Raw genomic sequence first — 26,575 nt, 5'->3', positions numbered from 1 at the left:
TGCCAACCAAGGAAGCTTATAGGGACTCTGCCCAGGGCTTTTATTGGGTGCTGAACACATAGGTATACTCTGCCAGACATATACCAAAATGCCAGACTCCCAGAAGGAAAGCAAGTGTTCATCATAAACTATATTGTTTGCACAAACAGTTTAGGCATAATGAGCTACTCTTATCAGTTCTGGGAATAATGGTAACCCTTCTCAAACCCAAGTTTCTAGTTGCCAACCTTGTAAGCAGGCCTCTCAAACAGTAGCAGTCCTGCTGTGTTAACCTTTCTCTGAATATATAACTTTGTTTTTTAAGATATTCATGTCTCAAATTCACTTCTGGAGTTTACTGCTAGATATGTAAGGGGACCTCTATAAACAGGGAAACTTCCCACCTTCGAACATAACTTAGTCCTGTAGCAAAGGGTATAAAAGTAGTCTCAGAAGAATCCTAACAAGCACCAATCAACCTGTATTTTCAAAGGAGATTTTCAAGACATCATGAGGGAAGCACAATCCCTAGAGATAGCCATCACCTAGTTTGTAGAGTATCAGCGTGTTCAATGCAAATTTGCCCCAGATTCTATAATGGTCTGCTCCGAACCCCTACGGTTGTCCTTGAGCCTGCAGCCACTTTCCCACACTGCCTAGGGAGAATACTTTCTTCAAATTGGCTACTTTAAAAAGGGGAGGAGTTGTTGATATTTATTTTTCTTGCTTGTTACTATAAACAAATACAGATCAACACTGTAAGGATGATTTATTTAATATTACCTCTCCTCAGTCACATTTCATAGGCATTGTAGACTGAATCAAGAAAACACACAGGTTGTGGAGTCAAATGGATCAACTCTTCACTGAGTGATCTTAGGTTACTTAATTTCTTGGTAAAATGGAAGTAGCAATACCTGCTTCAGAGGCATGTAGTGAGCATTTAAAAATCGATATAAAATGTTTCATTCATATATATGTGATTTCCTAGGAAGATTCGTAGGACTCAGCATATAATTATGCTCAGGGCTATGAGTTCCTAGAGCAAAAGGATACAAAGCAGAATCAGCAAGGAGAAAAGGTACATGGGCAAAGTCCAGGAGAAACCAGGCACAACCTCCCAAGTTTTTATATATATGTGTGTGTGTATATATATATATAAAATATTGATATGTTATATATTGGTATTAATATATAATATAATATATAAAATATATATAATGTATATAATATATATAAAATTAACACAGGGTAAGAATCTAATAGTATAGCTGGTGTGATGGTAATGGTGATTATTTTTCTCCCCAACCCCATTCCCTCCTTCCTCTTTTTTTTTTCTTTTTTTTTTTCAGTGTTTTGGTTTCAAGAAGACAAAGAATCTTTGTCCAATATCAACTGTTTGGAAACTACCAGTTTTCAAGTAAAGATATCAAACAATGTGCCTTACATGCCTAATAACAAAAGATTGAGAGTGGTGTTCAATTAGAAATATCTAGAGTTTAACATTTGTCTTCTGTTTTACCAAACCAGCAGATTTCTTTCATAATTGGAAATATTCCTGAGTTACTTTATGGTGTTTTTCCTAGTGTGAGAGACAGGCGTATTTCCTCATAGAGATTTTTTACCTCATTTATGTCAGGGCCCTCTGGGAATTGCTCTGTATAAGTTCATTTAGGGCAGCAGCTATACTGTCTTATTTGCCTTTGTACCCTCAGTTTCTGGCACAGTACTTACACAGGTCTAGCACAAAGTAGAGGCTCGCTGAGTTGTGGGTAGGTAGATGGATAGATAGATGAAGAATGACAGGTATACACTTTGAAGGGTGTGATGATAATTACAACACAGTCTTGTCTATAAGGGCCAACCAAGTGTGGCAGGGCAGATACGACAGGAGAAGATCATCCTGGCAGACTTGAGGCACATACTGCCAAGCTAGATACAACATGAAAAATACACAGATTTGGCTGAATAAAAAGTCCTCTATCAGTGGTGCAGACTGTAATAATACACCTGAGGTTAAGAAATTAGAATATTATTCTATAGGCTGTGGGGAGCTATTGGTTTTAGAACTGGGAAATACAGTTGATTCCCATTATTCACAGTAGTTATATTGTATAATGTTGCCACAAACACTGAATTAGTGGATACTCAACCACTGTTCCTAGGGGAAATACAGGGTTAAGTTCTTGTGAGCCTCTCGTCACATTTTCATCAACCACTCGGTACATAACTTTGTTATATATGTTATGTGTGTTTCTATTTAGAGGCACTTTACTTAGGCCACGTGCTGTGGCTCACACCAGTAATCCTAGCACTTTGGGAGGCCAAGACAGAAGGAAGGCTTGAGCCCAGGAATTTGAGACCTGCCTGAGCAACATAGTGAGACCCTTTCTCTGCACACACACACACACACACACACACATATACAAATACTTAGCTGGGCATGGTGGTGCATCCTGTAGTTCCAGATACTTGAGAGTGAGGTGGGAGGATCACTTCAGTCTGGGAGGTTGAGGCTACATTAAGCTGTGATCGCACCACTACACTCCAGCCTGGGCTAGAGAGCCAGGCCCTGCCTCAAAAAAAAAGTGTGTGTATATACACAAACACACACACACACACACACACATATATATACATACACACACACATACATGCATATATGTAAAGACACATTAATATATACTGTTGGTTCATTAACATTGAATTCATAGCTAATAGTCCTAAAACTCGTGCCTGAATGAAGCTTATCTAACACACATATTTTTCTCCACAAGGCACATCACAGCCCTCCTTTACTTAGGAACACTAGACAGCACTTCAGCACTATGATTGGGAACCATTTTAAACAGGAAAATCACTAACAAAAAGCACACAAATGTGAAAAACATGACACTAAATATACTGCAAAAAAAGACATTTTGAAAACAGAAAGAAAGGAATGGGCATTTGCCAAGCAGCAGAAATGTGAACAAAATCATAGAAATATAAATCAGTATGATATGTTTGGGGAATTGCATACAGTTTTCTGTGATTGGAATTTAGGCTATGAGGTCAGGTATAAAGGGAAATAAAATAAGAGATGAAAAAATATGGAAGAGTTTTCTACGCATTAATCCAACAGATATTTTTGAGCACCTGTTATGCACAATACATTTGGGACATGGTAGTGAATACTTCTATGAAGAACTATACATGGAAAAATGAGTATATTCTATGCATAGTGCTCCACAGAATTCTTTACTACTATACGTCCACTAATTGAGGACAGAATTCTTGCCCTCATAAAACCATTTATAATGCTAGTTTGTTGGTAGGTATTAGGCCCTATGTTAAAAATGAAAGATTGAACTTAGAGCTGCCAAGCGGCTTATACAAATTGACCTAGCTAAGTTGCAGAGCAGTGGCTTCACCTAGGTCTTTTGATTCTACATTTCTGCCTTTTCCCCACTTCTCAACACTGTTGATTATTCTGATTAGGAAGGATTAAAGTAGTGAAAGCCTGGAAAAGGGAGACCAGATATGACTATTGCACTAGAAAATTAAACAGGCTGTGGGAGACAGTACTAAGATGGCAACAATTTGGGATGAAGAGAAGACAACAGAATCAGGAAGAAGGAAGGATCAGTGGGATTTAATAATTGGCTGTGTCAAGGTTGCGGGAGGATAGGAAGTTTTCAGAGGTGACTTAGAGGTCTCCAGCCTGAACAACTAAAAAGATGGTATAGTACCATAAGCAAAAATCAAGGAAGATAAATGGAGAGGCAGGTTCACTTTGGGATTTGTTGAGTCTGAGGGACCAGGAGAAAGTCTAGGTGGTACTTTCTAGCAGAGAATAGAGATTTAAACTGTGAGGATGGCTCAACACCAGAAAATGCCCCTGGCAGTGACTGGAGCAGATTTGAAGATAAGCCATAGAGAGACTTTATTGGGTAGTAGTTAAAAGACTGAGTTCTGGGCCAGGCATGGTGGCTCATACCTGTAATCCCAGCACTTTAGAAGGCCAAGGTGGGAGGATTACTTGAGCTCAAGAGTTTGAGACCAGCCTGAGCAATGTAGCAATACATCGTCTCTACTAAAAATAAAAAAAAATTAGCCAGGTGTGGTGGCACATGCCTGTAGTCCCACCTACTCAGGAGGCCGAAACAGGAGGAACACTTGAGCCTGGAAGGTTGAGGCTGTAGTCAGCCATGATAGTGCCATTGCACTCCAGCCTGGGTGACAGAACAAGACTCTGTCTCAAAAAAAAAAAAGAAAAAAAAAAGGGCAGGGCAGGGGAGACTGAGTTCTGGAGTCCCAGACTAAATCTCATTTTTACCATTTCCTAGGTGTTTGATCTTGTGTAAATTACTTAGCCTCTAGGTAGCTCAGTTTCCTCGCTGTAGGATAAGGATAATGATAGTACGAAATTCATAGAGCTGTTGTAAAAATGAAATGAAGTGTTACACATAAAGCACTAGCATAGTAAATGCTCAGCATTTCTAAGCTATTATGATGAAATTGATGGCAAAAAGAGGAAACAGTTGCTAAACCACAGACATATTGAGGGAACCAGTGGCATTTTATGAGAAAACCCATCATTGTATGCGTCTGACCAGATGAAAGAAGTGCACAAAGGAATTTTTTAAATGTGTTTGAGGTTATTACAGCCATTTCAGATGAGCTGCGTAGAATTCAGAGCCTTAAAAATTTTGCCCTTACCGCTTTCTAACTTATTTACAGAGGACTTGGAATGGTGGGGAGCGATGACAATGAATATAGCTATTTCTTTTTGTGCCTATTGTATGCCAGGTATTAGTTCCCTGAAAGATAGATATTGTCTCCATTTTACAAATAAGAACACTGAAGCTCAAAGAGTTTAAATTTCTCAATATTGTCCAGTAAGTGTCAATATCAATATTTGATTCTCAAAACCCAGGTCCTTTCCCCATACTATGCTGAACATAAAATGGAGTGACTATTACTGTTTATGTATATTGATATACTTAAACCTTTTCAAAATTATTATTACTATTTTGAGACAGAGTTTCACCCTTGTTGCCCAGGCTGGAGTGCAATGGCTCAATCTCAGCTCACTGCAACCTCTGCCTCCCAGGTTTAAGCAATTCTCCTGCCGCAGTCTCCCAAGTAGCTGGGATTACAGGCATGCACCACCATGCCTGGCTAATTTTGTATTTTTAGTAGAGATGGGGTTTCTCCATGTTGGTCAAGCTGGTTTTGAACTCCCGACCTCAGATGATCCACCCACCTCAGCCTCCCAAAGTGCTGGGATTAAAGGTGTGAGCCACCGCGCCCGGTCGATAACCTTTTCAAAATTATTTACCCTTCCCCAAATAAACTTTTACCTTTTTTTTTTTTTTTTTTTGGAGACAGGGTCTTACTCTGTCACCCAGGCTGGAGTACAGTGGTGTGATCACAGCAGCCTCAACCTCCCCAGTAGCTGGGACTATAAGTGCACACCACCATGCCTGGATAATTTTTGTATTTTTTTTTTTTTTTTTTTTTTGCAGAGATGGGGTTTCACCGAATTGCCCAGGCTGGTCTCAAACTCCTGACCTCAAGCAGTCTGCCTGCCTCAGACTCCCAAAGTGCTGGGATTACAGGCATGAGCCACCACACCTGACCAAGAAATCAAATAAGCTTTTGAAGGCTGTACATACAATCTAATCTGATTTTATCCAGCCATAAATTAAAAATTGTTAGTTCTGTGCTCCGTATTCTAGTTGCTTTCGCAGACACGCTTTGCTCACTTAAAGTCTGTATAATAACCCCATTGTAAACACAAACAACTGCAAATGTGTATGTGCGCAGATTAACCTTTTCTAGACACTCCTTGTAATTTTCAAAGCCAGTACTGGAGTTCTAGAGTGCATTAGCACATGCATCAAATGGTAGATTCCCCAGGACCTCACCGCAGTGCCAACTGCAGCCCCAGCCTACTTCACCAAAACCACACCCTGTTCTTCGTCCAGAACCAGGACCTCAAGCCTTCAGGTTTAATGTCTAAATCTGAATCTTCAGGTTTGGCTGAATCCCAAACCTGAAGATTCTTTTGCTATTTCCATTTTTTTTTTTTTTTCACTTTCCCTCCTCTAATTGGCTTTATGTGAGACCTTGTGTGAACAAGCCTTCCTCATGCATGCATTCTTTACTGTGAAAACTAGGGGAAAAAAACCTATTTTCTAGATGAAAAAACTGAGATGCAGAAATGGGAAGTAACTTGCCCAAGGCTTAGGAAAACCAAAAGCAGAAATGGCTGGTTCAAGTTTACATAGTCACAAAGTGAAGGTAAGATATACATTTTTTAAACAAAAAATTGTACACACGAAGTTTGAGACAAGGAGGAAAGAAAAATGTGGAACTAATTGACACCCTAGGGCTGAGCCAGGCATTTGCCTTCCTTGTAGTTTCCTGGTACCCTTTTCCCTCTTGTGGCCCTTTACTGTTCTGAATTTCAGTGTTCTAAATTCTTTTCTTGTCAGCATTCTGCCCTAGACTGTATACTCCTGAGAGCAGAAATAGTGTCTTGTTTACTATTATAATCCAGGACCTAGCATGGTTTCTTACATGTAGTAAACACTCCGAAAATACTTGTGTAGTAAATAAATTAGAAGAAATAAAATGTTCCCAGCTATTCATCCACTATTTTTGTTTGTTTGGTTGGTTGGTTTTATATTTTCCATCTTACCAGTCAGAAACTCATGGTATCTTCATAGCTTGAGGACAGGCAAGTGAGAGGCCACATTATAGTGACATTCCTGGTTTCTTTCTCTCTCACCCTCCCCTTACCTCCTCCTTACGGTGGTCTTGGAAGTAACACTCCCAAGTTTGGGGGAGGAGGCATGGCAGGAGCATGGAGTTTCTAGAACTCAAGCACCAGAAGTGACCCATCTGATTAAAATTTTCAGATGTGTTTTTATAGCCAGTTGTCAGCCTCTCATTTTGACATCTCCAGCAAGACATTCTTAGAAGATTGTGGGTGGCACAAGCCTGCAGTGTAGTCCCTGCTACTCAGGAGGCTGAGGCAGGAGGATAACTTGAGCCCAGGATTTCCAAGCTGTAGTGCACTATAATTGAGCCTGAATAGGCCACTGCACTCTAGCCTAGGCAACATAGTGAAATCTCATCTCTAAAAAAAAAAAATTTTTTTTTGTTTAAAGCAGGGTCTCACTCTGTCGCCCAAACTGGAGTGCAGTGGTGCCATCTCAGCTCACTGCCATCTCCGCCTCCCAGGCTCAAGCGATTCTCCTGCCTCAGCCTCCTGAGTAGCTGGGATTACAGGTGCATGCCATCTACTGCCCGGCTAATTTATGTGTTTTTAGTAGAGACAGGGTTTCACCATGTTGGCCTGGCTGGTCTCGAACTCCTGACCTCAAGTGATGCACCTGGCCCCCAAAATTTTTTTAATCAAAAAAACAAAAGTGAGAAGAATGTAGTGCAGTAGGAAGGGGGTTAAGCTGGGAACCATGTCTCCTGGGGCAAAATTTTAATTCTTCTAGCCACTTGTTATGTGATCTCAAGCAAGGTACATACGTCTCTGGGTCTTTTTTTCTTTATCTAAAATATGAAGAGATTAAGTGTTTTCTTAATTTTCTTTCAGCTCTGATATTATGTGATTCTGTGATTAAATGACCTGGATGTTGATAATACATGCCCCATTGACAACTCTCTTCCGAAAACTAGAACAAAACCATTGGCTTCCTGGTCCTACTGGCTTTATTTAAGATCATCTTCTTTCCTTTTATATGACAGTGTCTCTGTCCCAGGCAGTTTATGAGGAGTTAAGCTTTTATTTACTGTAGCTGGAGGCTTCTATAAGCCAAGGCTTTGACAATATTTCACATTTATTTATCTGAGCTAGAGCTTAGGATCAGGTGGCAGCTAAGTCACCTAAGGTTATTCAAATGCATTGAAAATGTTGCTTAATAATTCAGAACCAGTTTTCTCTGTTTAGAGTATTAAGATTTTTTAAATCCTTCTAATTAGCCAATTCCAACAGCAGTTTAGGGAAAATTCTGTCCCCTCTGAAAGGGCAACTGATGCAGACTTACTGTCAGCCCCTGTATCTGTGTAGCAGAACTGACAGAAGCTAGAGCCAGAGAGCTTCCAGAGCCAAGGGAGCTGCTGGAATGACCTGCTGATGGTATCACCAACGGAGTCTGCCTGCTGTAGGAATGAGGCTGGGGGAAGAGGTCTGAGGATGCAGCTCCTCTAGACTCCATTTCTTTGAATTCATGGAGGCTCTAGGGAGGAGTGGGGAGTTTCCATTTAGTCATTCAGTAGATCAGTCTTTCAGCAAACATGTAGTGAACTTACACTGTTTCCAGCAGTATGCTAGGACCTGGGGATAGGTAGCCAGTAAAATCTCTTATGTGCCCTCAGAATTCAACCTGGCTGGAGAGACAGACTCATAAACAAATAATCAAAAGGCACAACAGATAACTCAGTGTGAAACTGTGGCTGATCCCTTGAGCTAGATCCTCTAGGATCTCTTGCCTGGTCAAAGTATAAGAATGCTGTTTTAGCAAAAGACAGGGTTGGCATTGCCAGTACCTGCATTCCACTTTAAACACTGACCTTATGTCAGCCAGCAGACCTTGGCAACTGCCTTGTCTGAGGATCCTAAGGTGAAATAAAGGTATTAGTCCGGTAAACATGGATTGACCACATGCAGGATAATGGGATAGGCATATGAGGGAGAGACCACAATGAACATATATGGTCACTGTGTTCCATGAGCCGATGGCCTAGTGAATGATTCCAGCTATGATTAACTCTGTTACAGGAATAGGAGAAAGATTAATTTAGGCTCTGTCACTCAGGCCTGATTTTATGGAGAAAGTAGCATCTGAGCTGAGCCTTGAAGGACATATAGGTTGGGACAGGTAGAACTGGAGAGGGAGGACAGTCTAGGTGGAGGAAACAACATAGCAAAGGTTCAGGGAGGAAAAGCACAAGACATATTTGAGGAATAGCAAACTGCTCTAATTGTCTGGCACATAGGGTCTATGAGAGGATAATATTTAGAGATCAGCATAGTAAGCAATGTTGGGGCCAAGCCCCTACCCCCTGTTCGAAAATTTAGACCCAGATTTCACTTATTTGATGTATTTTTTGAGAGAAAATATTTTGCCACTTCTAAAATGTTGTTACTGTGATAAGCTGTGATGATGCTCATAGCAGGTCCATAAGGTGGTACACCAGACAGATATCAACATCCTTGTTTAACAGACAAGGAATCTCAGAGGACAAAAAGTGACTTGTCCTAGAGCACACAGGTAATCAGAGCAGTATGCTAGGGTCAGGAGGCAGGTTTGCAGTTCCCCAAATGATGCTTGTTCTCTGACTCCCCTCCCCAGCTCTGAGCCCTGACCCTTTGTGGATATGGCAACTAAACTGATAGGGAATACGCATGAAGAAAAGGCTGGCCAGGTAAAATGCATATCTCCAGCCACCTTCAAGTACCACTTTCCTAGCATCCTCTCTTCCTAAATACTTTTCTTTCTCATCATGGTGCTTTTGCTTAAGCCCAGGAGTTTGGGAATTTTGGGTATAGGTTTGGTATTGTACAGGCCGCTGCTGGACCAGCCTTCAAAGAAAACACGTGCTCTGTTCATGATTCTTGCCTTCCAGTTTTATAAGCTTTTGGGTAGATGAAATGTACTATCAAAATAGCTCAGAGAGAGCCTTGGTAACATTTAAGATATTGAACGTGCTGCATCTGGTAACTAGAAAATTTAATGATCTCCTGCTGTTTTGGTAATTGGATAAGTAAATACATCAGAATAAATCACACCGGCAAGTCTTTTGTATGTCGTTAGGGACTAAACTCTTTTAACTCCTGTTCAAAGCCCCAGCTCTTGAGTGGTGTTTGCGTGCAGAGCAATGCACACACCAGCTCGCATGGCCCTGCTTGGATATTAAAATTCATTCAAAATGCTCACTTTCTCCCTAGCCCACTGGGCCTGAGGAGCACATGTAGCCCACCACTCCAGATCTCTCTGAAGCCAAGGAGAAAAGATTTTTTCAGAAGTTTAAATGATAACCTAATAAGGTATTTGAGCTCTTAATGATCTATGTCCAAACTGTCTTTCCAGCCACGTCTTTCATTGAAGTCCTGCTAGGAGCCTTCTCAGAAACACTACCGTGTACAAACTGGGAAAGTGAGGCCAAAGCAAAAGGGAACTATCCTGTTTTGGCAAGGAGTCATTTAAGAACTTTGAGAAGGAGCAGGACAGGATCAGACATTTTGTTCAACTCTCACTAGTGGAAGTGTGAAGGAGATAGACCCAGAGGGATGTGGTCTATTAAGAGACCATGTGGTGTTGGGTGATGTTGTCACCAACTTACAGATGAGAAATTTGGATCTTATCTCATGGTAAGAGGTTAAATGACTTACTCAAGAGCACACATGCAGTGCTAAGATTTAAATCCACCAGTGCTTTTTTTTACTGCCTCCCTAATTAGCACTTAATCCATGCCTACTAGTGAAACTCTGAGGCTAACAATAATCAGGATCTCTCAGAAGGCTTTTAAGCTAACTTAACAGTTCTAAACCTAACCAGAAAACAGGTGTCTCCCCTTTCATTTGTCTCTTAATGTCTTGTTCCAAACACAGTGGTTAGCATTATGGACCAACCTTTTATACAAGGTCCTGGCTGCTTCCGTGGTATTGGCCTTGGAAAGTGAGGCATGTCCCCTAACTCAGTGATTCCCAGCCTTTTTCAAGTCACCACACACATTGAAAATGGTGTTTGTGTGTCTTACTGGAGAACCATACTAGGCTGCTCAGAGTCAGAAGCAACCCAGCTCTGAGGTTCCTGGCTGCCCCAAGAGTTGAGAAGAATCAGTATCTTAGCATACCTGTAAGCTGGGCACACTGCTGGGGCTCATCTGCATTAGGTTTATCTTGCCACACTACAGAATCTTCACTTATGAATTTGCCTGTGTCCAGTTTATGCTTTCAGGGGCAATGAGCTTGCAAATTGTTCTGTAAAGCGGGACTTTCTTTTATTTGCTTGAAATTATGTCTTCCAGATTCCAGGACTTTCCAGGATGGGGAAACATGCCTGTTCTCGTTCTTTGTATATTCATTTTATGTTCTTTATTCTCATTCTGAAGACTTGGATCATCTCCTGTTTTTAGACTAAGACGGTTTTTTCCTCCCCATTCCATTCTTAATAGAATCCCCTCTGGGCCTTCCCCACTTATATTGTCATTTAATAGTATAGTGACCAAAGCCACCATCAAGGATACCACTGCAAGGAGAAGGTTACAGCTTTTGTTTGGTGCCCAGGGTGTCCCCGACAGTGTGCCAAGTTTGAGACCATTTTAACATTATAATACCTTAGAGCTGGTGTCTTCACTAAACAGTCCATCTAAAGGCATAGGCTAGGAATGAAGAATCCAGATTTGCCATGAATGCTGAATAAACTTGGGTAAGTTCTTTCCACTCACTGGGCTTTTCTGTCCCCATATGCTACAGAGATGACCTCTAAAGACCCATCCAGCTCTAACAATTACTAGCTCTGTCATAATTGAATGACTAAATTTCACCCAAATGCCTAAGGTAATAATACACTCTGTTATGGGGGAAATATGCATTTCAGTTACACGAAGGGTACAGTCCTCCCAAGCAAGGGACTTAGAATAAATAGTCTAGTACATGACTACAATACTAAAATAATCTACTGTGGTGGTTAAGAACACAGATTTGAAGTCAGACCTAGTTTTAAATCCTTGCTCTGCCACTTCCTGCCTGTGCATTCTTAGGCAGATTATATAATCTCGCTGAGCCTCTTGTCCTCATTTTTAAAGTGGAGGTAATATACCTCCCTCATAGAGTTGTATGAGTGCTTATACAGCACTTAGCACAGTTAGCACCTAGTAAGCTCCCAATAAATGTTAGCTCTTGTTACCATTATTATAATTTAATAAAACAAAGAACAAACAGGGCAGCCTACAAGGCACAATTTCTATTCCTCTCTTACTTTAATCTTTTCTCCCCTTGTTCTTCCTTTAATTTTTCTTTCATTCTCTCTTTCCCACCTTAAAAACGTCATCAAAGGAAGAAAATGTCCTCGACACCTATGCTTTGCAGCCACAGACACCCACCCAGCCTCACTCTCTAGCACCCCAGTTGATCTGTCACAGTTCAGTAATGAAAAGAGGAGCATCTGTCACTGTTTCCTGGAAGCCCTCACCCCAGTGCCACTTCTTTCTTGTGGTCCAGTGAGACAGACTGGCCTAGCAATTGCATAGGAAGCTGAGATAAACCATAGAGTAGTCTCATAGTGGGACCCTTCCAGATTGGAAGTTTCATTTTGGGGTGTGTTACCACCTGCAGCAAAGGTAAAGAAGAAATTGCTAAGAGGTACAACTGACATTGTTGTCATAGTTGTTTATAATAATTATTATTAATAATTGTAATCCCTTATGTTGCAAAGGACTTTATTATTACCAAAGATTTTTTTATACCCTGACTCAGCATATGCCCAGCAATTCCCCTAAGTTCCCCCTCTGATACTTTGTGGGTATAACTGCTTTCTTTAGGGATTCCTAGCTCATCAAAAGGTGATTAAAGAAAATAGACGATTAGTTGTTAGGACTAAGTTGACAGTAACAAAAGACAGCTTGAGTTCCTGTTTGGAACACCAAAGCCCATTAGGGACATAAGCCATGACATAGCAGCAGAGTGCAGCATTTTTTATGCCCAACAGAAAGCCAGTTAGTCATGTTAACTGTCCTCCGTTTAGAAGTAGGTCAGAAGTTGAGAGGCAGTGAAGGGTAATGACTGGATATAGGCTGGAAGCTCACAAACCAGGGTACAATTCTGGCCTTCTCTTTCCTAGCTATGTAATCTTGAGCAAGTCTCAGAACCATTTTTGACCTCAGAGAATTCATCTGTAAAATTGAAATAATAGGAGTACTTATCTCATAGAATTGTTGGGACCATTTAATTAGATAATATATAGAACAACTAGCCTAGTGCCTAGCACCTAACACCAAATGAATGGTAGCTTTTTTTTTTTTTTTTTGAGATGGAGTCTTGCTCTGTCACCCAGGCTGGAGTACAGTGGCATGACTGTGGTTCACTGCAATCTCTGCCTCCCAGGTTCAAGCAATTCTCTTGTCTCAGCCTCCTGAGTAGCTGGGATTACAGTGTGCACCACCACGCCCAGCTAATTTTTGTATTTTTAGTAAAGACAGTATTTGACCATGGTGGCCAGGCTGGTCTCGAACTCCTGACCTCAAGTGATCTGCCTGCCTCAGCCTCCCAAAGTGCTGGGATTACAGGCATGAGCCACCACACCCAGCCATGGTAACTTTTTATAGGGATGATGTTAATAATTACTTATTAAGCTTCTGATATTTAATAGCATGTTTTCCTAATAGAGTAACTAATAGAATAGATTACTCATAGCATACCAAAAAGATTAGTTAGGCCAGGCGCGGTGGCTCATGCCTGTAATTCCAGCACTTTGGGAGGCCGAGGCGGGCAGATCAGGAGGTCAAGAGATCGAGACCATCCTGGCCAACATGGCGAAAACTTGTCTCTACTAAAAATACAAAAATTAATTGGGCATGGTGGTGCATGCCTGTAGTCCCAACTATTTGGGAGGCTGAGGTAGGAGAATCACTTGAACCCTGGAGGCAGAGGTAGCAGTGAGCCGAGATCATGCTACTGCACTCCAGCCTGGCAACAGAGCGAGACTCTGTCTCAAAAAAAAAAAAAAAAAAAGAAAGAAAAAGTTGTTCCCCCAAGTTCAAAGTAAATGCTAATTTTGAACAAAATCAAAAGCAAATATAGTCAGCTTCACTATAATCTGGGAACTTACATATGCAGCCCATAAATATGCCTCAGAGTACAAAGAGCTTAGGATTTGAAAGGAGAGGACCTGCGTTCAAGTTTGAGCCCCGACAATTTCTGGTTGTACGACTGTGCATAAGAAATGTCCCCCTATTTGAGCTTTAGTGTTCTCATCTGTAAAAATGAGGATAAATGAATCCAATCTTAGGATAGCTTTAACGTTTAGATAATATATGTGAAAGTGTTTTGAGAACTGTAAAATAATACTATTATGTATGCATTCTTCAGAACGAAGTTTAGTAGCACATTCATTTTGTGTTCAAATAGCTTGGCTTTAAAGAAGCATCTCTTTAAGAATAATCTTTGTTGTGGCTTTATGTTACAGATGGGAAATGTATTTTAAAATTTATTTATGCCCTGACTAGTTGATTTTCCCATCTTTTAATCAAGACCAAACAGACTTTGAAAAAAAAAAAAAAAAAAGCTGTGACCCTCGTATCATGTTACATCAAAACCTAATTGTTAAGTACTTGCTTAGTGCTCTGAGGTTTTTGGGATTTTAGGAGCCATTAAATAATACCCTTTCACTTAACTAGTTCAAGACTAATTGAAAGACATAAGACCAATTGAAAGATAGACATAGCACTCAGGTGGGGATAAAAATATCACCTCCTTTGTTACCGGAAAAGTTGATCAGAGATTGTGATTTGAGATTAAGCAGCCAAGGGGCTTGCTGATGTATTCTTTGCCTGTAAATTAAACAGACTTGCCCACTCAGTCCATGGTATAGCTGGACACTGCAGGCCCTCGTACCTTGTAACATGAGAGCAGGTTGGTTCCAGAAAAGGAAAAGGAAGGGGCTGAGCTCAGATCCTTCTCCCAAATTCACCAGGCAAATAAGTTTGTTCTCACCCCTGTGTGGGAGATAGGGAACACATCCAGAAGTCACTCCATGTGGATACATAAATGTGAAATAAATACTTCCCCCAACAAGAGTTATAAGTTTTATATTATTGACCCTCACAACAACTCTGGGAGGCAAAAAAAAGGTCTCAATTTTATAAATAAACATTGAATTTGCCCAGGGTCATCAGACAGCTAGGAGGTTATAGCAGTGGGAATCCAACCCAGGTATCCCTCCCTGGGATCACACTTCAACAGTTCCAGCCACTGGGGAACTCAAACCACATAGACACCATCTACTTACACATAAAGAAGGCACTGAATCATAATAGCTTCCATGTGTCAGGCCCTTGATGGCTATTTCAATCCCTATAATAACCTTTCACCCAGTGGAGAAGGGAACTAGTGCACAAGTAAGCATCTTACTGACTTGGCTAAGAGATTTGAATTTAAGTGTTAGTATTATATTTCCAAAGCTTAACTGCAATCCAGTTTACTCCACTGACTCGCCCTCACACTTCTAAAAATGCAAAAATTAAAGCCTAGACAAGAAAAGTGACTCGTCCAAAGTCATACTGCTAGAGTCAGGACTGGAACCCATATAGTCTGGTCCTTTATATCCTGATAACATTAGATAATGTACAGCCTTGGCAGTCAGCACAGAGGAATTCAGAGAGGAGAGGGTTTTCTGAAGTACATAGTCTATAACTGAAGGGATGGATTTCCTAAAGCTTGGAGAAACTTATTTTGCTCTGTCTGTGTCTAATGTAGAGGATTAGACCTGCTTGTCCTTGACATTGGCGTAAGAGGTAAGATGAGATGGATGAGGTTTTGGAGTTTGATCTCTGTGTGGACTCAAAGAGACTTACAGATTTTCTGCCAGCGTGGCAAAGGGTTGCTCCTGAGAGTCAGGCTATTCAGGGTCCCTTCAACTCACAGTGCTATCAGCACACAGTCTAGAGAATGAAAGTTATTGGTCACCAGAGGCAAGGCAAGCAAACAAATACTAGACAAAATTTGGTAACAAGAGCTTTTCTGCCTTTAAGATGCTGGAACTTTCTCAAATGCAAATTTTATTTTAAAAGCAGGAATAGGCCAGGCGCGGTGGCTCACGCCTGTAATCCCAGCACTTTGGGAGGCCGAGGCGGGCGGATCACTAGGTCAGGAGATCGAGACCATCCTGGCTAACACGGTGAAACCCCGTCTCTACTAAAAATACAAAAAATGAGCCAGGCGTGGTGGCGGGCACCTGTAGTCCTAGCTACTCGGGAGGCTGAGGCAGGAGAATGGCATGAACCCGGGAGGCGGAGCTTGCAGTGAGCCGAGATCGTGCCCCTGCACTCCAGCCTGGACAACAGAGGGAGACTCCATCTCAAAAAAAAAAAAAAAAAAAAAAGCAGGAATATGTTTTGAGAAGCCTCTGTTGGTTTATTGTTTTCCAGTTCCACATATTGAACCTAAAGCCTGTAACTCATGGAATGAGAGAGAACCCTTTTAGGCTACTTGTAAGAGGTGGGGAGTTACTATGAAAATTATTAGGGAACCAGCAGAAGGCCTGGGTTCTGGTTCTGCCTCTACCACTTACCTATGTGATCATAGACAAATCCAGTCTCTGGGTCTTGTTTCCTAATCTACAGAGTGGGGCTGATTTCCAAGTACTACCGCAATGCATTTCCCCCATAAACTGTTAAATGCATTAGGAACATTAAAAAGAAAAAGAAGAAAAAAATCCAACCTAGCATTTTTTCTAAAAGTGAAATATTAGATCCAGACTTTCTTTTATTCAATTTCAAAATAAAAGCATTACCTCAGAAATATTAAATGTAAAAGATCTAACTTCCTCACATGATTGTGAGTTAATGTTTGTGTAAATATGTTACAAACTATGAAGGGCTATGCAAGTATTGCTGCTGCTATTCTTTTTAGTATTACTCAGCTCCTGCCCTCAGGTCGCTCCCAGCCTAATAGTACAGGTGGAGTATCCCTTATCTGAAGTGCATGGGACCAGAAATGTTTTGGATTTTGGATTTTTTAAGAGTTTGGAACATTTACCTACTGGTTGAGCATCCCAAATCAGAACATCCAAAATCTGAAATGCTCCAAAGAGCATTTGTTTTGAGCATCATGTCAGCACTCAAAAAGTTTTGGATTTTGAAATATTTGGGATTTTTACATTAGTGATACTCATCCTGTAGTTTATGCTCAGGTACTAAAAAGTGAGAGGCAGAAGGATGTGACTAGAAAGAGCCCCAAAACAGAAGTCAGAAACTCTGTGGGTGTTGCACATGCAGTGCTGCGTCTGCTCCTATTCAACCGTGTGACCTCAGCTAAGTCACTTGACCTCTCTAAGCTTTAGATCGCCCTTCTATGAAATGAAGGGGTTAGATAATTTGGCATTTAAGGAGCTTCCCCCCCACAACCCCAAACATTCCAGGATTCGCAGTGTGGCCTAGGATGAGAATCTGTCCCATGGATTCACATTTTTCTCAACAGCAGTGATAGGCTTTTTAGAAAAGGAACTGAAGCCCAGGGAAGTAATAGAAACAGTATATGAAATTTCAGTCTGCTAAGAAAATTGATCTAGAAAGGAATAGCTCTGTTTGGCAAAGAACACCTGTCCCATTTTTGTTACATAAACATGTTTCACAAAGCCAATTTGCTAAATGATTAAGCTAATGAGAAAATATATCCATTCAGGTTTTCTAAGTATAGTGAAGAAAATGTCAAGATGGTTGACTTTCCTTTTCTAACTATAGACAAAATCAAGCCATACCTCTTATCTGAGAATGACCCTTCTCCCCCAAGGAGTCCCAAAAGGTGGGCTTCTTTGTTGATTTAGAGAGTCGATAATTCAGTAAAGTCCCAAGTAAATGGCACAACACAAGCTCAGATTGGGTTTTTGTATTCATATTTTATAAACATTTCAGGACTTTTTTCCTGACCCTTGACCTATTGCCATTCTTAAAGTGAAGATCTTATATCCCGGAAGCTTGGTTAGAAACAACTTCAGGATCATCTCATCCAACTTCTTTCTCTATATAGAAACTACTCTCAGCAATATCTCTGAAAATGTAATGTAGCGGGTTCCAAATCTAGACTGCCTTGATTCACAGCCTGGCTCTGCCCTTAATAGCTCTGAGACCTTGGGCAAGTTACTTAATCTGCTCCAGGGCTCAATTTCTCCATTGGCTTTTTGGCTTAATGGGGATAATAATTGTCCTTACCTCAATGCAAAGGCATAAAAATGATATAATGGACTTTGGGGACTCAGCGGGAAGGTTGCAGGGGATGAGGGATAAAACACTATACATTGGGTACAATATACAGTGCCTGGGTGACGGGTGCACCAAAGTCTTAGAAATTACCATTAAAGAACATACCCATGTAACAAAAACCACCTGTTCCCCAAAAACTATTGAAATAAAATAAAAATAATTGTCCCTACCTCAGATAACCTACCTTTTATATTAAAGTGCTTGGACTATACCTGGCACAAAGTAAATGCTCAATAAACATTAGCTTCTATAGTCATCATCTGCAAGTAAGCCCCTATTTGAGTGCTTCTGGGAACAGCAGAGAGTTCACCCATCCCACCCTCCCTACCTCCATTTCCCCAAGGCAGCCTGTTGACATGTTAGTCAGAATCATTCATATCATCAGCTTTAGAGTCAGACCTGAGTATGAAACCTTATTCTGTCTGCAGCCTTGGGCAAGATAACCTGTGGTATCTTCATCCATAAAATGGAAAGAATCGTACCTATTTCACTGAGCTGTTGTGAGGTCTAGTTAAGGTACTATATAAAAAGTATATAAAGTACTTAACATGGTTCCCAGCTACATAGTAGGCACTCGATAAGTGATAGTTGCTGCTATGATGATGACTGAAGAACAAGAAAATAAAGAACAGAGAGAGGAGGGAGAAAGATAAGAGAAGCAGTAGTAGCCACGTCGGCAGCTGCTGTCTGTCTGTAAAAAGTTGTTTCTGACTAGCTGGGTTCTGCTTCCCTGTGATTTTATTTCACCAGCCCTAGCTGTATCCCCCAGAGCTGCACAGAACACATCTGCTCTGTCTTCTACTTATCAGCCCTTCAGATATTCAAAGAGGGCTGACACAGCCCCCTCCCTACCCATATAGCAACATCAACACCACCACTTCTCAGTGCCCCCTCTCCAGGGAGATATCTCCCATTCTTTAGCTGTCTCTCGGAGAACATAGCTTTTAGGCTCTTTCCTAAGCAGGAGGTCCCTCCTGGCATGCTCCATGTCCTTCTTGAATGGGGCCCAGAGCACTGCAGGACAGTTTCACAGCATGGCCACCATCTTGCTGGGGAGAAACATGATGTCCTACATCCCCCTAGGTTTCTCTCAATTGGTTTGTCCAAGCCAGGCAAATGAGAATGGAAATAGAGATTGTCCTTGCTCACTTTGAAATTCTTACCTAAAATGACCTTCAAAGAAAAAAAATTGCTTGATTTTATTTTTAGGGCACCAGAGGGAGCAGCCAGCACAGCCGTGTTTGCTTTGAAGCAATCCAATGGTGACACAGCCTCACTGAGGCTGTAGACGGGGGTCTCCAGAGATGGAGGCATTACCTGATCAGGAAAGGGGGGGCACTCTTGCTGGGCCGTGGGGAAGAAACAAGAAAGATAGCCTGGTATAGATCAGGGTTCCAGGAGGTTTTGGTGAAAGAGCTGCAGCTTTGAAGTTAGAAAGATCAGGGCCCCTACCCAGTCAGTAATGGCTACAACCTACTGAGTACTCATTGGCTCAGACACTGTACCAGAGGCTGCACCAACATTATTCCATTTAACTATAATCACAACAACCTATGAAGGAGAAACTATGATTCCCATTTTACAGGTGAGAAAACTGGCTCTCAGGTTATATAATTTCTTCAAAGTCATACTGGTAGGAAGTGACAGACCTAGGATTTGACTCTAGGTTTGCTTCACTCTTTTTAACCACTGTGCTTTATAGACACTTATTAACCATATGGCTGTAAACAAGTGGTAACCACTTTGAGCTTCAATTTAATCATCTCCACTGTCTTGCATGGTTGTTGTATGGATATGTTGTCTGGCATATAGTAGGCGTTCAAGAAATTTTAGTTTCCTCCTTCTCAAATTCCAGCTCTCCCACTCAAAGTGACTGAAGAAAGCCACTTTTCTTGGATGCAGCTTTCTCATATGAAAACTGGGTGTGGTTTATGAACCTCTAATCTTGCATATGACAACCCCAGCATGGTGCAACTCAGGCCTGATACTTCAGCCTCCCATCCTCTTTTGCTTCCTAGCACACGATTACAATGATCGTTTCTCCCAACAAACATCATATTTACAAGCCACAAATAACAAAGTAGAAGATGCTGGAAGAGCTCTGGCATGTTAATTAAGAACAATATCAGAAGCAGGTGGGCAGAAAATGCCAACGAATGAGAAGCAGAGGCAGAGTAGCTCTGTTTGTTGACAGAAGCCAATGAGTATTGTACGTTAATTGGGGAAGTGGGTAAACATTTGCCAGCAGCTTGCCCCTCAGTGCATTGGAAGATAGACAGGCTAGGCCCTTCCCACTCCTTGCCTGTCCATCTGCCCACAACCCAAGAGATACAAATACAGTGTGCTTTGCTCTGAGTTCCTTATAAGCGGAGAGGATTCCAGGGGCGGATGTGTCTTTTTAAAGACCCTCCTGAGCATACCAGGTTTCCATCTAGATACAGCTGAAGATAGTTTCCCCTTCCCCTTGCCAGCCTGCCTTTGATACTTGGCCTTGGCCCCCAGGGCCTCCACTTCCCCATATCCCCCACCCCTCCATGGAAGAAGACACCAGAACCATCTTATTAGGAGCAGCTTGAGTTAAGCAGAAGATAAGATTGCCTGCCTCAGGTGCTGCAGTCAGGCCCAGAGCAGCAGAGCAGCAGCCTCAGGCCTGACTAGAGATTGCTTGCCCTCCCATCACACACTTGGAGTTGCCCATTTATCTGTGTGTCCACCATCTTTACAGTTGCTCTCACACACAGCAGTCATTATGGAACACCTGTTCTGGGCAAGACACTTTGCTAATTATATATTTTTTCTCATTTAATTCTCACAATGAGTCCTGCAAGATTGATACTAACTCCAAAGCCACAAAGCTGATAGCCAACACAGCTGTAATTTAAAGTAGAGTCTTTCTAATTCCAAAGCCTGTGTCGTTTCCACTAAACCAGTATTACTCAACTTTTAAACATTGTGACCTCTTTTGATAAACAGGAAAGTTTTGTTTCTTCTCTCACTCGCAGATTCAGAAGACCTTCATGTCCCATCCCTGCCCGTTGCCTAGGAGGGCATAAACCTAATTTAGGATCCCTGTATGATTAACGTATCCCACTCAGCCAAGATTTTGTCTAGCTTGACTTTCAATAGTTCATATTACAAAATTATGATTTTTTTTAATTTTTAAAATATAAAGTTGTATTATGACATTGCCTGTTTTTTTTCCAAACTAAATATACCATCAACAAGGGTATGATATGCCTCCCCTCACCAGGGGAGATCTTCATCGTTGGGCATGGTGGAATGGCCATTCTACAGTTTATAATGTAGTTCTAAGAGGAAGATCAGCCCCAAAGGCTTAGCTGTAGTCCCACCAAGCAGAAGAGTCCCTCCCCTCTATTAGGGGCTAACCAAGCAGAGGTCTCTAGGAATGCCAGTCAGTTGTTAACCAGCACCTTTCCCAAGGGCCCCCTGTTCTGCCAGCCAGGCTGAGCTGTGCAAGAAAGGTACCTCCACCAAACTTGACTATGAGATTTGATTTTCCTGAGCCCTGGTTTCCTCATTTATAAAATGAGAATAACAACACCTGCCTTGCAGGTTATTTTGAAGATCAACTAAGATACTGCGAGACTCTTCGTGCCAGTGCATAGTTTCAGAATCAGTGTGCATAGATAAAATGAAGGCCATGTAGAGAATATAGTGCTTGTTTCAGTCTTTTGAATATGTGTTCTTCATCTTTTTAGGTAACTCAACTGGACCCAAATAAATCATTATTGGAGGTAAAGTTGTTCCCTCAAGAAACCCTTTTCCTTGAAGCAAAAGAGTAAACACGGCCCAGCGGTGGAACCAGCCATTCCTTGACAAGCCAGCAGCCTGCGTCAGGAGAAGGGCTCCTCGCCAACCCACCCACACGCTCGTCTCACTCAATTCAATGTCACACTTCTGCCTCTTGCAAAATTGCTGGAAAAAGTAATAATAAATATAGCTACTTAAGATTTCCCATCCATGAGTATATATTCCCAACCCTTATTACAGAGAATTACAACTCTGCCACCCTCCCCTACCCCCTGCACTTCACCCTCCTTCAATGACGAATGCATTGTTCAAGTGTGAGTGATCACTAAATAGAATTTTTACCTCTCCAGTGCCCATCTTTTCCCCACAGTGTCTAGGACAGTTCTGTCTGTTCTGTGACACCAGGATGCTGTATATTTGATATATGTCTTTTTATTTTCATGACTGAATTTCTACTTCATCACCTAATTTTAAGGGGCAGAGGGAAAAAAAGTCAAATGAGACATTGTCGGCATGGAGATTAAACATTGTAGGAAAAAAGTATACCATTTTTGTTAGAACTTTCTGATGGCTTTACTAAGATGTCAGGTTTTGTTTGAGGACTGAATTTGACATATATGCAAGATATTTATTTACTGCTGCTGCCTTGGGTCTCCAGGTTCTACCTAGGAGGTATTTGCTGTTCCATTGCAGCATAGGGAAACTGTTCAAGCACACAATGTGAATGTTGAGATCATGTGCAGAGAGGCCAGTACCAAAACTTCAGTATCTGGCCCAATGGCAAGAGGCTACTGTTAGGTTTGCATTTGGGCAGTTAGAACCTCACAGATACCAGCTCCCAAGTTGCTAGTCCATCAGTGTAAACTGAACACAATTCTCTCTTGCTTTCTCTCTCTCTACTCCCTCACACATTTGGACCTTGTCACTTGGTGTTTAAGCACCTTGCCTATCAACAAAATCTGATGAGCAGCCCCATGGACTCTCCTGTAATAAGGAACTTGCTCTACTATTTTATTCTTTTAATGTTTTAGTATTTGATATTGGACTCAAATGAAAGGGATCTCATTCTGTGGCTGAAAAATCAGACTTCATATGTTGAAGAGAGCAAACTTGGGGACTCAACTCAGAAGACATGTGTTGCCTGAAACCTGCATATAATAATTTTTGATTTGATTTAGTAAGTGTGGATTTTTCTTAATCTACAGATTTGGGGTTTGGGGTTTAGATCATGAGAACACCGTTTATACCTTCACAGCCAATGATTTATTTTTAGTCTTGAAATATTTCTCCATATCTGTTTTTGTGTCACCTGTGGGTTTTATCCTAGGGGTTGGGATCCTGATTTTAACATTTTGTACTTGTCCAAAAAAGAGTTCAAATGCTGGGTTTGTTCCCCCAGCCTCGGCCAAGGGGTTCTCAGAAGATTCTAACCAAAGCTGGAGATAGGTCTGCTCATTTTCCTTCTGCCCAGAAGTGGATGTTGGCCAGGAAAATTACACCTTGTGTCTTCTCTGATGCTCCAACCAGGGACCTCTCCAGATTACTATCTAGCACAGACTAGTGCTACATCTGCCTAGGTATGGGCTTTCTCTGGCAGCAGGGGTCTCTCTAGGGAGGCTGAGAGACCCATGGGTCTCCCTTCAGGGGAAGTGTTCAGGGGAGTTCAAACTGAACACTTCTCTCCAGCTCTATTCCTATCTTCCTAATCTAATGGCTCTACAAGATAGTCATTTCCAGTGCTACAGATGCACCAGGGCACCACCTCTTTTTTTTTCTAGGTAGACCTTGTTCTGTAGCTGCTGTGAAGAAGCTGCAGCCCTGAACTCAGGTCATACTCAGGAACAGCAGCAGGGGTGTGGGTGGGGTTTGAGGGAAGGTACTCTGAATTCACCTTCATGTTTAACCTGTTCCATCTGACTTGGGTTTCTTCATTATATTGTTCCCTCCCACTCACCTTCACTTCTGTATTACAACAATATAGACTTTACTCTAAAGCCAATTTCATGGAAGTTATTAAATGCTACTTGAATGTGTGTGAAGTTGATACAACCTTTTTCAACCTGCCTTAGAAAGTTCTTTTGGCCTACTCAGCCCCATGATTTCCTATGCTCTAGGCCTCATAACTGGGAAAGGCCTCAGCTAATTGTCACTGTTCACTCAGGACATGATGGTCTACTAAGCTTCAGACAAAAGGCCAAAGCAATTTTATCCTTTTCATACAAGCAGAGCATTAAAATGACTTCCCATCACCACAGAAATAGCAGTGTCCTCTGCAGTTCTTCCTCCTACCATTAGGCTTCCTTGGGCTTTACATCCCAGCCTCCAGGCCCAGTAAGTGAGTCAGTCTGAATATTTGCTTGGCATTCTTATGCCCAACTGTTGACAGTGAAGCTCCAGGACTCTTTGTCATCCCCCATTCCAGTTTACTCCCTTGTGTTCTTGGACTGCTGGATGTGCAGTTGCAGCATTAGTTTGAAAGTTAAAGGAAGTGTTGCCAATTTCCCATTGCCTTTAAGAAGGTGCAGGGATTTTTTTGGAGGTTTCTGATTTCGGATGTTGCCATTCTCTGGCACTACTAGTTTTATAGCACACACAGATGTTCATCTCTGGATTGTAAGCATCCAGAATCAAAGATGAATGAGAGCATCTTTTATGGAATCTACCTTTTTAACATAAGAGAGTAAGATTTATGCTTTTATAGATTTTACTTGCTGCTGACATTAGAAACATATTAGTCACATAATAACATCTAAGTGTGCTGGTCAGTAGAATAGGTTTTTAAGAGGTGGAGAGCTCTGGCAAATTTCCCCCAAAGTATAGACTTTTTCATTTGAATGTGGGAGAGGGTCTTAATTCTCTCCACAACAGCATCACTGATTGACACATTTCTACCCATCCTTTTCTGTCCCTTAGCCATCCAGTCCTGGGTCCCCACAAGTGGATGGGACTTGGAGTCTTTAGTTCAGTCCAGGAGTAACTCATATAGGCATTGCACATTATAGTCTGTGTAACCCTTTCACCTGTATTTTCTCTTTTGATCCTTTTTAAAATTCTTAGAGGAAGAGAGATCTTCACATACATATAACCACAGCCACATACACACACATTCCAGAGACTTCAGTGTCTTCCAAGTTGAACCTCTCTTCTGCCACTTAGTAGCTGCGTGACCTTAAGGTAAGTAACCTCTCTGAACCTCAGTGTCCTTACAACATTCTGATAGCACTTTGCAATTGGACACACCTTTCACACATCATAATAGTCTCCCGCTATGAGGGAAGCAGGGCAGAGATGATGATTCCATTTTTGCACAAGGGGCTTAGAGGATAGTGGCTTGCCTAAAATCACACAGCATGTCAGTAGAAGGGTCAGGACTTAAAGTGCTAACTCTAATTTTCCACTGCTTGTCTACAAAGAATCTCTAATTTTTTTTTTTTTTTTTTTTTTTTTTTGAGACAGAGTCTCGCTCTGTCGCTCAGGCTAGAGTGCAGTGGCACGATCTCGGCTCACTGCAACCTCCATCTCCTGGGCTCAAGCAGTTCTCCTGCCTCAGCCTCTCAAGTAGCTGGGATTACAGGCATGTGCCACCATGCCCAGCTAATTTTTGTATTTTTAGTAGAGACAGGGTTTCACCATGTTGGCCAGGCTGGTCTAGAACTCCTGACCTCAGGTAATCGGCCCACCTCAGCCTCCCAAAGTGCCAGGGTTACAGGCGTGAGCCACGGCGCCCGGCCAAGAATCTCTAAATTTTATATTCAAGAACGGATCTTGGAATCCTCTACAGTTGTACATAAAAAGTTAAACATCACTTTGGGAGGCAAAGGCAGGAGGATTGCTTGAGGCCAGAAGTTCAAGACCAGCCCTGACCACATACCAAGACCCTGTCTCTAAAAAAATAAATAAATAAAAAATAAAACTTTTCATTAGCCAGGCATGCTGGTACTTGCCTGTAGTCCCAGCTACTGTTGAGGCTGAGGCAAAGTGATCACTTGAGCCCAGGAGTTCAAGGCTACAGTGAGCCATGATAGTGCGACTGCTACTCTGGCCTAGGCATCAGAGTAAGACCTCATCTCTTTAAAAAAAAAAAAAAAAGAAAGGTTAAACATGTATTTTCCTGGAAAGGGAATCTGTATTCATCAGATTCTCAGTGGGACCTATTGATCAAAAAATTTTAAGAATCACCATTTACGTCATCCTATTTGGGGAGAAGAATCTGTCCATTCTTTTTATCAATCCGTATTTTTATCTAAAAGAAACCTCCAGAGGATGAAATACAATCACTAGACTTTCTTGCCTTGAATATCTCTGCATTTAGTATTTTGTCCTTGTCTCAAATAATCTGCTTTGGAAGGTGACACTTAACCCCAACTGGCCACACAGCTCCTCACTGTTGCATTTTGAAAGTTTGGTCTGAAAGAAAATATTAATAAAAGAGACATGATCTCCAGTCTTCAGTCTATAAACTCTTTGTACACTGTCTATTAGTTGGGGTTCTGGGCTCTCAGAGGTGGTATGATGTGTGGTTAGGAACACAGCCTCTGGAACCATGTTGCCTGAGTCTTAGCCACTCCTCCACTTACTAGCAACGTGTCCTTAAGAAGTCATTTCGCATTCACATTCCTGTGCCTCAGCTTTTTAACTATAAAATGAAAATAACAGTACCTGGATGATAAGGTTTTATGAAGATTAAGTGAATTAATGTGGAACAGTTAGGAAGCTGTTATCTGTTCTGTAAACTCATGGGATTATCACAGGAAAGGAGAGTGGGTGATGGCAGCAGTGAGAAGTGTGTGGGCGAGGACACAGAAAATGTGAAAAGTAGACACAGGAAGTCCAGGAG

The 26,575-nt window shown here is 41.5% G+C and overlaps 1 protein-coding gene and 1 long non-coding RNA gene across 9 annotated transcripts in view, besides 1 other annotated feature; one reads left to right on the top strand and one right to left on the bottom strand.

The window, feature by feature from the left end:
* Positions 1–21,722, bottom strand: part of FAF1-AS1 (FAF1 antisense RNA 1) — a 29,669-nt gene extending 7,947 nt beyond the window's left edge. The window contains exons 1-3 of one of the 4 annotated variants that reach the window (XR_001737633.3): positions 14,603–21,720; positions 1,714–1,911; positions 897–1,018 (exon numbers count right to left, since the gene is read on the bottom strand). This is a non-coding gene — a long non-coding RNA (FAF1 antisense RNA 1). Of the gene's footprint in view, positions 1–896; positions 4,238–11,325; positions 11,415–14,602 lie in introns of those variants that run through there. The other 3 variants (XR_007066079.1, XR_007066077.1, XR_001737632.3) reach the window with 3 other exon arrangements.
* FAF1 (Fas associated factor 1) overlaps positions 1–26,182 on the top strand; it is a 523,240-nt gene extending 497,058 nt beyond the window's left edge. For all 5 annotated transcript variants that reach the window (NM_007051.3, XM_047442745.1, XM_047442743.1 and 2 more), the window contains one exon: positions 21,687–26,182. In NM_007051.3, coding sequence (NP_008982.1) covers positions 21,687–21,770 — 84 coding nt within the window. In that variant the 3' untranslated portion in view covers positions 21,771–26,182. The remainder of the gene's footprint in view (positions 1–21,686) is intronic.
* Positions 9,579–10,080: an enhancer, noted in NCBI's record as "NANOG hESC enhancer chr1:50918802-50919303 (GRCh37/hg19 assembly coordinates)". NCBI's record gives its function as "activates a minimal SCP1, AML or CMV promoter by ChIP-STARR-seq in naive H9 embryonic stem cells {active_cell/tissue: H9 hESC(naive)}" and the evidence as "EXISTENCE:reporter gene assay evidence [ECO:0000049][PMID:30033119]".
* Positions 26,183–26,575: the final 393 nt, after the last annotated feature.

This window comes from Homo sapiens, chromosome 1 (assembly GCF_000001405.40).
Source record: "Homo sapiens chromosome 1, GRCh38.p14 Primary Assembly".
Classification (NCBI taxonomy): domain Eukaryota; kingdom Metazoa; phylum Chordata; class Mammalia; order Primates; family Hominidae; genus Homo; species Homo sapiens.
This window is presented reverse-complemented; position numbering and strand designations above follow the sequence as displayed.